Raw genomic sequence first — 14,623 nt, 5'->3', positions numbered from 1 at the left:
TAGTGTCAGTCTTTCTACCTTTTGATACAAAGAGTTCATGGATGCTTGAAATTAAAAAAAATACTGTTTCTTTGTGAGAAAAATCCTAACATATAGAAAATATACAATTTTCAAATACATTCATTGTGGTAGAGAGAGTTCTTAACAGTTACTTCATGTGGTTCTCAGATTTCTTACCTTCCCATGTGATGAGATTGAGATCATTTGCCTAATTCTGGCCAATGGACCACAATAAAGTGACATGTGTTTCTTATTCTCTGAGAGAGTCAAGATGAAGATCTGCCTCCTTCATCATTCTCTTTTCTTACTGTGGCAACTTTGGAGACCACATAGTCCAATTAGCATAAAACTCAGGAAGGCACTTTAGTTACTGTTACTGGTTTATTGCAAGGGATACAAATGAACACACAGGTAAAGAGGTACACAGGGTGAGGTCTATAAGGGTTCCAAAGAGAAACATCGGTCCCATAGTATCTCAGTGTGCCACACTCCTGAAATGTGGTATGTTCTTCAACTCAGAAGCTCCCTGAATAGCTTAGCAGTTTTATGGACGTTTCATTAAGTAGACATGATTGACTAAATCATTGGCCATTGCTGGATTGCTGGAGCTCAATCTCCAGCCTGTTTCCCATTCCCAGAAGTTAAGGGAGTGGGGCTGAAAATGTCAAGCTTGTAATGAAGTCTAGGTCTTTCTGGAGACCAGCCCCCATTCTGCAAGTATCTAAGAGCGAGCCTTCCAAGAGTCACCTCATTACAAGAAATGATTCTTCTATCACCCTTATCGATCAGAAAATTTCAATGGCTCCAGGTGTTCTGTACCAGAAGCCTGGACAAAGACTAAAGGTCTTTATTATACCATAGTGCTTTTTTTTTTTTTTAAAGATTTGCATGAAAATGTTTCTCTAGCAATGTGTTTTTATTTTTTTGGAGATATACATAGCAGTGGAATTGTTAGTTGTATTTGATAATTCTATGTTTAACAATTTAAGGAACTACACAACTATTTTCCAAGGCTGCTATACCATTTCATAATCACAGCAGTAATGCACAATGATCCCAATTTCTTCACATCTTAACCAACACTAGTTAGTGTCTGTAGTGTCTGTCTTTTTGATTATACTAACCTAGTGGTTATGAAGTAGAGTCTTGTTTTTATCTGCATTTCTCTAACAGCTAATGATGTTGAGCATCTTTTCATGAGCTTATTGGCCATTTGCATACTTTTTTGAGGAACATCTATTTGTACGTTTTGCCCATTTTGTGTTGAGTTTTTAGATCTTTTGATTATTGAGTTGTAAAGTTCATTATATATTCTGCATATAAGTCTTTTTGCAGGCTTATGATTTGCAAATATTTTATTTCACTTTGTAGGTTGAGATTTTAGTTTCTCATGGGTATAGATTACAGCAAGAAAGTGTTTACTTTTGGTGAAGTACAATTTATTTGTAATTTTCTTTTGCATATTTTTTTCATATAGTATTAATGAAGCATTGCCCAATCCAAGGTTACAAAGATTTATTCTTATGTTTTCTTCTAGAAATTTCATATTTTTAAATATTAAAACTATGTCTATGATCTATTTTTGTATTAATTTTAGGTTATGGTGTCAGAAAGGAGTCTAATTGCATTTTTGGTATGGATGTATCATGTTGTCTCAATAACATTTGTTAGCATTAGCATTCTTATAAAAATCACTTGTAAAGTATTTGGACTCTCATTCCTAGCCTATATATATATACAGGTTATATACATATTATATATATATACACTCATATAATGAGTGCAACACTGTCTTGATTCATTGTGCCCATATACACATCCATATGAGTGCAACACTCTGTTGATTAGTGTAGATTTTTAGTAAGCTTGAAAATGAAAAGTGTGAGTCCTCAAACTCTTTCATTTTTTCAAGATTTTTTTTGATAAATAGCTTTCTTTGAAATTCTAAATTAATTTTAAGGTCAGTTTGGGAGTTTCTGTAATTTGTGAAATGTGTGCATCAATATGGAAAGTATTGCTTTCTTAACAAAATTAAGTCTTCTGGTCCATTAAAATTGGATTATTTGCCTAATTTATTTAGATATTAATTTTCTTCAACTATATTTTGCAGTTTTCAGTGTATAAGTTTTGTGCTTTTTTTGTTAAATTTATTCTTAAGTAGGTTATTCATTTGATGCTACTGCAAATGAATTGTTTTCTTCATTTTACTTTTGGATCATTCATTTTTAGTGTATAGCAATACCACTGATTTATTTATTTTATATTATTTTCAATTATAGATGGACAAATTATAGTTGTATACATTTATGTGGTATTTGGGGATGTAATAATTTATAATTACAATGCAAAATAATTAAGTCAAAGTAATTAACATATTTATCACCTCAAATTCTTGTCTTTTTAATAATAGGAACATTTAAAATCTAAACAATTTTGAAATGTACAAGACACTATTATCTACTATATTCCTGGAACAAATTTAAAAAGCTACTAGAACCAGTAAAATAATTTGTAAAGTAAATACCATGGATTTTTATATACTGTTCTTGCATCCTGCATACTTTATAAATTCTCTTATTGATTCTAGTAGCATTTTTGTATATTCTATCAGGTTTTCTGTATAGATAGAATGTTTTCTGAAAATAGATATCTTTGATGAAAGCTGTCACTCTTTCATTAAGTATTTTGCTGGGTTTTTTTTTTGGTAGATGACTGTTTATCATGTTAAGGAATTTCCTTCTATTTCTTTCTGAAAAAAATATTTTTATCATAATCAACTATTAAATTGTAAGATGGTTTTTTCTGTAACTATTGAGATGATTATGTTTTTGTGTCATTCATTCTGCTAATATGTAATAAATCTGTTTGAATTATCTCATTGTTATTGAGTCATTTTTAGTAGCTTATGCCTTCCTAGGAATTTATTTACTTACAAAGTTACTTAATTTATTAGCATATGTTTTTTTCTTAATAGTACTCCTTTTTAATTCTTTCTTTTTGTCTTGTAAGGTCAATAATAATGCTCTCTCTGTAATTTCTAATTTCAGTAGTATTAAAGTCCTTTTAAATTTTCTAATTTAGTAAAAAATTGTCAATTTTCTTGAACTTTTCAAAGAAGCAGATTTTGGTTTCATTAATTTTCTTGATTGTTCTTTTATTCTCCATTTCATTTGTTTCTTTTGTAATCTTTATTATTTTCATTTTTTAACTTGTTTTAAGTTTTTATTGCTGTTTTTTTTCCCCTGTGTCTCAAGGTGCAAGACTATGATAATGATTGGACATCTATCTTCTTTTTCAACTGAGGTATTTACAGCTATAAATTTTCCTCTAACTGCGGATTTAACTGCATCTCATGAATTTTGCTCATGTTATATTTTCATTTCAATTCAGCTCAAAATAATTTCTCTTTTCTCTTTGATTTCTTCTTTGACCCAGTGGTCAAAGAAGTATGTTTATTTAATTTCTATATATTTGTCCAAATTTCTTTCTGCTACTGATTTCTAATTTCATTGCATACAAAGTACAATTCTTTCAAATTTATTGAGGTTCAATTATGGTCTAGAATATTGTCCATCAGAGAATATTTCATGTGCATTTCCGATGACAATACATTTAGCTTTCTTGAGGTAGAATGTTCTGTGGATGTTTGTTAGGTCTGGTTTTACAGTGTTCCTCAAGGATTCTATTCCCTTGTTTCTCTTCTCCCTAGTTGTTCTAGGCATTATTAAAAGTGAGGCACTGGATGTCTCCACTAGTATAACTGAATTGTTCATTTCTTTCCCCTTTATTTCCTCCAAGTATTTTTGTTACATATTTTAAGCCTCTCTTTTTTGGTGTATTTATATTTATGCTTTTTATGTCTTTCTGATGGATTTATATTTTATTATACAATGCCACTAATTATTTCTCTTAACATTTTTGGTTTTAAAGTCTATTTTGTCTAACATTAGTATAGCTACTTCAGTTTTCTTGTGATTGCTATTTGCATGATCTATCTTTTTTGTTTGTTTTTTATCCTTTTACTTCCGATCTGCCTTTTTTCATCTGACACCTACAACCCAGAGAAAGCATATAGTTGAGTTTTGTTTTTTTTTAATCCAGTCTGATCATTTTTGTTTTTAATCAACTTACTTAATCCAATCACATTTAATTTTATTATTAGTATAGATTTAACTCTACCATTGTCTTTTTGTGTTTTAATTGTCTCATATCTTATTTGTTCCTCTAGTCCTCCTTTATCACTTTCTCTTGCATTAACTAAATGTTTTCTAATGTAACATTTTAATTATTTTAGTATGTTTTCTTTCTGTTGCATTATATCTTTAGTGGTTGCCATAGGACTTACCCTATTGTCTTAATTTATCAGAATTTACTTCAGATTTATACTAAATCTAATGAGATTATAAAAATGTTACTCCTGCATAGTTCTACTTTCTTCTTTTTGTGCTATTATTGTTACACATAGTCCATTTATGTGTGTTATAAACCCTATAATACATTGTTTTAGATATCAGTTTTATAATTTGATGTCTTTTAAAGAAGCTTAGAGAAGAAAGGAGAGCAAGTATATATTTATAGTGTCTGTTACATTAAACTTATAATTTTCCATTTCTGTATCTTTTCCTTTCTTCCTGAGGATTTAGTTACCATCTGGTATCATTTCCTTACTCCAAAACAGCTTTATTTCTGCATGCTTCCTTTGAGCTCTTAGCACTAAATATGTTACATTCCTGCATGTTATAGGCCAAACACTATACTAATGTACACATTGTTTTATAAATTGTATCTTAAATAAAGATAAAGAAGGCAAAGTAATATTCATTTATACAACCTTGTATAATTACATATAATATACATATATAATTCCCTGTAAATACTTTTGCTTGTGTTCTTTGTTTTATTTGATGTAGGTTTGAACTTTTACCAGTGTTTTCATGCATTCTGCTCAAAGAACTTCCTTCAGGATTTTTTATAAGGTGGGTCTTCTAGCAATGAATTCTCTTAGTTTTTGCTTTTGGAAATGTGTTTACTTCACCTTCATTTTTGCAACATACTTCTCCTGGATATAGGATTCTTGACTTCTTGACATTATTGTTTGTAATGAGAGATCAGCTGTTAATCTTATTGTGGGTTCATTGTAAGCGATGAGTTGTTTTCCTTTGCTGCTTTCAATATTTTCTCTTTGTTTTTTAGCTTAGCAATATATTTATCATGATGTGTCTGAATGTGTCTCTTTGATTTTATTCTACTTAAAGTTAATTGAGCATCTGACATGTGTAGTTTAATCTTTTTCATCCATTTTGAAAAGAATTCAGCCATTATGCTTTAAAGTATTTTTGTCTGATTCTTTTCTCTCTTCAGTCCTTCTTACACTCCCATTACAAGTATGTTAATGTCCTAATGGTTTCTTACATTTCTTTGAGGCTGTGTTTATTTTTCCTTATTCATTTTTCTCTTTGTTCTTTAATATGTGATCACTATTGATATCTTCAAGTTTATTAATTTGCAGGACAGTTCTCTGGGTGGCCTTGGACTGACCTAATTTTCTCCTAACCCCTGTCTCCTCCTTGCTTACAATTCTACAAAATAACCATAGAATGTGCTGGGAATGCAATACCCTGAGACAGGGAGGAACTGTTTGAAACAGCCTGGGCCTTGTTCCTGTTCCCTCCTGGAGAACATAACATTTTGAGATAGATAGGAACTACAGGGACACCGGCGGCTTTGTTCCTCTTTCCTCTGGAAGCCAAGATGTTCTTCAAAACTTTTCCCAGTGAGTTTCATGGCCAATGGGATATATATACAACCGCAGGTGGGATGCCTTTTGGGGTCCCTTGGCTGTGATCCAAGTGGAGCATGTGAATCAACATTCTATCTACCCTGGGAAGCCGTCTTGATACTTGAGGGACCAACTCACAGTGGATCTTAGGCTTCTTTGTCCCTTGCTGCATATCTGTAAGTAATGAATCTATTTCATATAACTTTGTATTTGAGCGTGTTCTGTCTCACTCAAATAAGTGGGTAACAAGTCCATGGTGAATCTGCTTCACAAAATACTTTCTTCTGCCATTTCAAGTCTTCTGTTGAGCAACTGTAGTGTATTTCGCCTCAATTATTATACTTTCTAACTCCAGAATTTCCGTTTTTTCAATAATTTTTCATCTCTTTATTATTTTCTATTTGATGAGAAATTGTCATTATGCCTTTCTTTAGTTTTTGAAACATAGTTTTCTCCAGATTTTTTAAACATATATATAGTTACTACTTTGTAGTTTTGGTCTCTAAAGCCAACATTTAGGTTACCTCAAATGCAAACAATATTGTCTGCTCTTTGATTCCTGTCTATGGGCAACACTATCTTGTTTCTTTGCATGTCTCATGTATTTTTATTGAAAAAGAGACACTTTTTATTATGTATTTTAGCAACTCATGATATTGATATCCTTCACTCTATTGGATATCAATATCATGAGTTGGATAATATATTGTAGCAACTCTGGACACTTAGTCCTACTCCATGCTCCAGATCTTGGTGGTGGTAGTGTTATATGTATTTTTGATTGTTTATTTGTTTCAGAACTTGGCTGGACTAAGAACAACCTGGGGTTGTCTGCCTCACTTACACTGGGGACTAGATAGAGAGAAGGCAAGGCAAGTCTTCTCATATGTACCTTCTTGGTATCTTTTGCAACATCAAACTGAGGAGGATGATCACCTCTGATCTTCCCTGCCTGGGGTGAAACTGTACCCGTAGACCGAAAGCTAGAGGAAGAGAAACCTTACTTTCTTGACAGGATCTACACAAAGTAGAGTTTCTTTTATACTCATCTAGTGGGGGAAATGGGACTGGGTGATTGCTCAAATACTATAGATTCACACTGCCCTTCTCAATATTTATTACACCTTCTTAAATACATTTTTATCCATTTCCTGTATGTTATTAGGACACTTCACATAAATTTCGAATGGTTATTTTAATAAAATGTTTATCAGTAAATGGTTGCTCAGCTTGGAAAAGGGCCTGCCAACCTCGTATCAATGCTATTCTGAATGTTCTCCTACTTTACTTTCTTATATATTTATATATTATATATAATATATATGTATACAATTCAAAGGTGTCTATACTATCATTATAATTTCTTTTTCTCACTATTCTAAGTTTGCTAACTGCTATTTAAACTGCTCCTTAAATGTTATTAGTTGCTCCATGGCTTATTTAAGTTTGCTAGTCTCTGGCAAATTAATATTTTAATATAGGAAATATTACTGATTTGTAGAGTTGGTATTTAATCCACTCATTATTCATATGAATTTTAGAAATTTTTATTATAGTCAATATCTTTTGGTCTTTGGCTAGGTTTTCTATACACTTTCTTTCCTTCCTTTTTTTTTTATTTTTATTTTTTGAGACAGAATCTCGCTCTGTTGCTCAGGATGGAATGCAGTGGTGCGGTCTTGGCTTACTGCAACCTCCGCCTCCTGGGTTCAAGCGATTGTCCTGCCTCAGCCCCCTGAGTAGCTAGGACTACAGGCATGCACCATCACACCTGGCTAATTTTTGTATTTTTAGTAGAAAATAAATACAATTTATTTATTGTATTCACCATGCTGGACAGGCTGGTTGCGTACTCTTGACCTCAGGTAATTCACCAGCCTTGGTCTCCCAAAGTGCTGGTATTGCTGGTATTACAGGTGTGAGCCACCGTGCCCAGCCCACTTTCCTTCCTTTTTTGGCTTTCTTTCTTGCTTGCTTGCTTGCTCAAATTATACAAATATATAGAAAAACGATATTGTTATTTATTAAAAATATTTGGTAAAAAGTTTACATTGTCACTTGCAATATATGTCTATTTTATAAGTAATAGAAAACTCAATAAATAGAATATTATCACAACTACATATGTTAATCATTTCTAGATGTGAATGTCATATGGGAAATAAGTTTTTTAAACTTCTTTAAGAGTGTTCATATTTTAATCTATTTGAAATTAAGAAATAAGCTCCTCCAAGTCTACCTTCAGGGATCACTGACCCTCTCAGGATGTGAATGACAATTTTTAAGGAAAAAAACCATAATTTTCCTAAAGAAAAGCAAATTGTAATTAATTAAAATGGCTAAGTTATTTGACAACTTGAAAAAGAATTTCAATTAAATTGACAAATTTTTCAGCAATATTAATTTAAAATTAAATGTAATTACTGATACATAGAAATAGAAATTTTGCCTTTGGTGACATTTTAACACAGACTGTTTATGTACTCATTACAGACATACAATTTAACAAATGAGAATATCTGAAGCATAGAATATTAAAAAACCTAAAGTACAGTAATAAATAAGACTGTGTCCTCAATGGTCACCTCTTTCACAGACTAACCCAGAAATCTCAGTATTCCAACAAAATAGGTGTAATAGGTGTTTGTTCCTTGTTTATTTGAAAGCCTACAAAACTACTGTTTTGTAAGCCTGTGTTCCTCAAAATTACTATTTTATAAGCCTGTGTTTCTACTTGTGGTTATCTTTCCATGTTATTGTTTTAGTTCCTTTGTCTTTCATGACCCTGCTGCCCTATAGATTGGAGCCCTGTCTGTGCATCATAGAAAAAAGCATGAAGAATCATACTGGGCAGGTCTGATATCACACAAAATGTGACATATTCTATTTGTTTGTAGTCATACCTATATTCAAAAGAGGCTGGGATGTGAGTTCTAGCTGTGTGTCCTGCAGGAAAAGAAAACAGATTTGGGGAACAGTCATTCAGTTGACCACAATATGCCACCCAGTGGCCTGACCTGCAGAAGGGAAATTCCTAAGTTATTCAGAAAATATTTCTAATATTTTACTTAGGAATTTGCAATCCACCAGAGACCGAAAGACAATCACAATGTTCCATTTCTGTGTTTTATGTGCTCCTGAATGCTTTACATTAAAATCATTTTCTCATTTTTTTGGTAATTAATAATGAGGGGGACATAAAAATAGACAATGTGATAGCTGGAAGGCATGTTTCCTCATTTTGCAGATGTTAACAAGAAGACTTTGAGAGATAAAGTGACTTGATCACATCACAAAACTAATTAGTGGAAGATTGTAATTTTTGAAAAAATTCCTAACTGATGATAAGCAGTGAAACAATATAAGATAATGAATAGAAAATCAGATTAGTTGAAGGAAACATGGATTTTACACTGGATCTACCATAAACTTGGGGTTTGAGTGAGAATTCTTTAAGTTTCTTTTCAGATCACTCATTTTACAAACTCTGAACATAATAGTTCACTTTATGAACCACAAAAATTAAGGCAGAAAGGATTAACGGAAAGTAAAACGTATTTATGTTCTCAAAAGATACCTTCTCATATCCACCCAGTTTATTCTGAACTTTTTCTCTGTGTTGATGTCTCCTGAAAGTTGAAAGTATGTTTTAAATGTGCTTCATTCCTCAGTTCTTCCATCACATTTCTCATTGTGAGTGGCCCGGATAACTCTATTCATTGCTCCTGTGATTTGGCAATGCTCAGGCTGTTGCTTTATGAAGTTGCTCCTAGAGGTGAACACTATATTGAGCAGAAGTTAATTTTAAAGCTTCTTTCTAAATGTATCAAAGATAAGCTTCTATTAAGTAACTTTTCTATTCTAAAGGTTGAATTTAAAGACAAGAAACATTTAAAATATTACATAGGAAAATATAGGCATTTAAGTTAAAATGAAACACAAGCTAAAAAACGGACACTGAAGGGATTTTACTATAAAATGTATTCAATAATGATATTTTTCTGATAGTTTTTGTACTGTTTCACATTTAGATTTTAGTATTGGCTATTTGTTCTGGCTTTGAGTAAAATCACATGGGATTAATATCTCCCTGATCTCAGGCTTATGCTTTAAAACTTAAAATTGTATTACCTCATTATTCTTGACTGGTATAATTATAAAAGTGGTTAGCAAGATTAAAATATAATCACACAATATCCCAAATAAAGGGATATTAAAATTTGCCTATTGAAGAACTATCTGGCCTCTCATGTTTATTGCAGATATGGGATATGAGTTCTAGCTCATATTCACATATTCACATAAGTAAATGGATCAAGAAAATGTGGTGTGTATACACGATGGAATATTATTTTGCCATCAAAATGAATGAAATTCTGTCATTTGCAATAACATGGATGGAACTGGAGGATATTATGTTAAGTGTAATAAACCAGGCACAGAAAGACAAGTGTTGCATCTTCTCATATGTGGGAACTAAAAAAAGAAATTGATCTCATGGAGGCAGTGAATAGCATGATGGTTACCAGAGGGTTGGAAGGGTAAAGTGGGTTTCACTAATTGGTAGAAAAATACATTTGCATAGCAATAATAAGATCTAGTGTTTGGTAACACAATAGCGCATCTATAGTTAACAATCATTTATTGTAAATTTCAAAATAACTGGAATAATAGGTTTGGAATATTGCCAACACAAAGAAATGATAAGTGTTTGAACTGATGGTTAGTTCAGTTATCAGATTTGATCATTATACATTGTATGCTTGTGTCACACGTACCCCATAAATATGTACAACTGTATTAATAAATGTTTTAATTGTGGAAAATACAATTATACTGTTCATAAAACTATCCAGTGATTTTTCTACATTGGAAATTCACCAGTTGACACTATGAACAAGACATTGCTTATATTTCTTTTAGTTCTATCTCTATATTTTTTCAATTATTCATCCTTTTAAAATCCATTAATCACCTTATCACCTCCCTACTGCAACTTCTCTTTCATATATATCAGATCTTGCAATTTTAAATCAATATTGAAATTGCTGGCTCAGTATTACATTAATTCATTATCATAAATTATGAGTTTCACATATAAACATTTAGGTCCCACATTTTTCTATGCTCTGGTAAAATGTAAGATGAATGAAATATAATTCTTGGTGACTCAGTTTAAGATTAAAATAGACATTTAAACAGATATTTGCAATATAATGTGGTAAGTGCTATGAAAGAAACATTTATCCCTAACTACAAAAATCTGAGGCTGTCACTTGAACAATAGCTTCCCGGATGGATTGTGAGTATCTCCAGGAGAAATTAATTGATCAGGCAGACAGAAAATAAAGTTCTGTATATCAGAGAGAGGGAGCAACTAAAGCACAGGTACTAGCAGTAAATAATACATATGAGTAGGAAACTTACAAGCAATTTAGTAGAAGTGGAATCCCCAAGGTACAGTGATATGTTGGAGCTGGTTCCCACCAGTTCACAAGATCTTATTGTGTGCATCTCTTCCCAACACTGTCTCCAAGGACAGTAACTTATTAGGCTGGATATTGGCCATGATGAGAGTATTTACATCATGGAAATTGGCAAATACTACAAATCAAGGTTTCCCTCCCTCCCTCCCAACCCGCCTCCTTCCTTCCTTCCTTTTTTCTTTCTTTTTTTTCAATTCCTTCTTCTTCTCCTTTCCTTCCTCTTGGAGAATTGGTTTACAAAAACATTTTAAAAAACATCATTGCTTTAGTAGTAAAATATTTCTAATAAAATTATACACTAAAATGTGTGCAAAAACATACGGAACTATAATTAAGCCACTGTGAGGATGGGCCTGAAAATCTCTATTACTCATAAGTATATGTGATATTCCTATGATCTAAGGATTGGAAAACATTGATAAACAGGATGAAAGGCCACTAGGGAATCAGAGTGTAAAATGAATCTGATGGATTTGTAATGGGAATGAAAATGATGACCAGGAAACCAGTTATTCTTCATGGTTTATATTTTTTTTTTAAAAAAAGAAGCTTTCCTCTTTTCTGGGAGCTTTCAAATTAATTGCTTGAAAAGGTTTGGAAAAGAAAAGGAACACTGCAAAATCAGATGCAGTGCCCAGGTGTTCTCATGGAGAATTTTAGAGGTTGACGAAAAGTAAATAATGTGTCTGAAGGAGAGTAACTTTTATTTTTCCCTAGGTCCTGCAAAGGGCTTTGGCATAGCATGGGGAATGGAAGCACTTATCTTCTTTATTGTATTATAATGGCAATTAGTGGATACTATTGTCAAAATCTGCAATGATTATATTTAATAGAAGGAGAATTTAGAAGAGAGGCATAGAACACCTTTAAATTATGGATACAGAAACTATCTGAGTGAACTATACAATGTATTGCTTAGGCAATGGGGCAAGACTATGCTTAAGTCAGGTTGGTAAAGAGTTATCAACACTTTATAAACTATTGAGATAATGTCTATCAGTAGAACATTGCATTGTCTCACCACTTAACTTTCACAACTTTGTCTTCTTTGAACTATTTAATTTCTTATTATGATCTTGAGTGCTTGGCAGCTAGATGTATATAAAATGACATAATGGACTTTTTATGGGCTATTCAACTAGTGATCTTTGAACTCATATTGCTAAGTAGTCTGCAGAAAATAAGCCATTTTAGCACAATTTTTAAAGCAATCTGCATTTCAAACCACCCTGATAGCGTATTTTTTGGTTCTAGTAAGATATTACACATTGTTAAACTTTAAAATATGATATGAGACTCTGTCAAGTTTAGAAAGGAGCAATTATATTCCTTTCAGGTCACCAATCATAAATTTCATGATTGAATTCTGGTATATTACCTTTCCCACACTCATTTTGGTTGTACTCTGGAAGTCTGGAAGATTCAATTTAAGTAAACTGTTAATATAAGTATAGTCTACATGAATTATTTTAAATATTAAAGCCATAGTTTCAAGAACCCTTGTATAGGTAAGCATGAGGATGTGAAGTACCAGCTGACAACTGTATTTGTCCTTAAAAATACCAAGTTTCTGAGTGTCTGTAGTAGTAGAGATGGAGATCCTATGTAGTTTGGAAAACTCTATCTCTTGGTCATCCTCTTTCAGTAAAGGGGGAAAATGAGCCAGAATGATATAACCCTAAACTCCTAGTATCTTGTAAATATCCAGAACTGGACTGGGACAAATCATGTTAAGAGCTGTAAAAGTTCTGAGATCTTCCCTACTTGCAAGCTAACAAATTGTCCTGCCACTTTTTCATAAATGCTGGCAGAAAACACAGGGATCCTGCGTCAGAGACAAAAGACTTTATTACTCAGCACACCCAGCAGTATGAGCTTCAAGTTTTGCATCAGTTCCTATTGCACACTGTGATGAACAGACCTTAAGGTGGCCTCTTCTTTCCACAAAGGTTTCTATTTCCTGATGTTTATGTATTTGTGTAATCCCCTTCATTTGGGTATTGGTGACAATTATGACTTACTTGTAACAAATACGATATGGCAAAAACTATGTGATAGCACTTTTATTGTTAGATTATCATATGCATGAGCAATCAGATGTCACTATTATGATTCTATTTCATTAAGTGACACTCTATCTTAGCAGTTTGGAGATTCTTCCAGTAGGCTTGACCAAAAAACAAAACAAAACAAAACAAAACAAAGCAAAACAAAACAAAGCAAAGCAAAACAAAAGGCTTGTTGGAGAATCCATATTTCAAGGAACTGCTTGTGGCCTTTAGAAACTCTTGGTACCCGCTAAATTCCAGCCAACTGCTTATAAAACCTGAGGTTCTCAGTCATACAACTACAAACAACTGCCAATAACCTGAATGAGCTTGATAACAGATTTTTCCTCAGTTAGGCCTGAGAGGAGTGGGGACAATAAAAGCATGTTGTTTTAAACAACTATATTTATGGTCATTTGTTACATGACATAGAAAACACTCTCAAGTCCCATGGGAGCAATGAAGCGGCAGACCCAAGTAGATGCTGCACACATCCTGGGTTTGTGTTGTGGCTGAAGAACTCAGACTAGGAAATTTTAATTTTATATACAGGACCATTAGAAAAATTTGCCCAAACTTTATCACTGGAGGGAAACATTAGCTTGATTATCCCAGACAGTAAACAAATTTTCTTTCTGGCTGTGAGGAAGATACTATCTTAATCCTCTAAGGCTGTTTACTATGCAAATATTCTTGCAAAAACAGTCTAGAAAAACTGCTGTCACAAGTTGCATAGAAATGCCATGGAGAGTAGTTGCCCATAGGGCAGAATTTCTTCCAGTACTCTAGGAGAATTTCCATACAGTTAGCTTTATACAGTTGGTATGGAAGAGACACTGTTAAATCATATCCATGCCAAAAGTTCCAACTGGGGCTAAAAAAATGGTAGACAAATATCTGAACACATATTAGAAAATCATATGAGGTTACCTATGGTTTATCCTTTATAAAACTTTATTTACAGTCACTGTTACTAATATCATACTTAGGTAATATCATACTTTGGTGTAGAGCAAATCTGGGAGTGTACATGAACTTAAAAAATTCATACAAATACAAAGGAAGAAATAAGCCACACACAGAAAGACAAAAAAATACTTCCTGATCTTACTTATATGTACAATCTAGAAAATGTTAAACTTACAGTAACAGATGATAAAATGGTAGTTACCAAGACCTGAGGAGTGGGAGAAAAGGGGAGATATTGCTCAAAAAGTACAAATTTTTAGTTATAAGATGAATAAGGTCTGGAGATCGAATGGACTGCACGGTCACTAATAATGTATTTTATACTTGAAATTTGCTAAGAG

The 14,623-nt window shown here is 32.6% G+C and overlaps 1 long non-coding RNA gene across 1 annotated transcript in view; it reads left to right on the top strand.

Annotated features, from left to right (window-relative positions):
• Positions 1–5,609: 5,609 nt before the first annotated feature.
• Positions 5,610–14,623, top strand: part of LOC105370217 (uncharacterized) — a 62,771-nt gene continuing 53,757 nt past the window's right edge. Inside the window, exon 1 of the long non-coding RNA XR_941983.1 lies at positions 5,610–5,955. This is a non-coding gene — a long non-coding RNA (uncharacterized LOC105370217). The remainder of the gene's footprint in view (positions 5,956–14,623) is intronic.

This window comes from Homo sapiens, chromosome 13, assembly GCF_000001405.40.
Source record: "Homo sapiens chromosome 13, GRCh38.p14 Primary Assembly".
NCBI classification, from domain to species: Eukaryota; Metazoa; Chordata; class Mammalia; order Primates; family Hominidae; genus Homo; species Homo sapiens.
This window is presented reverse-complemented; position numbering and strand designations above follow the sequence as displayed.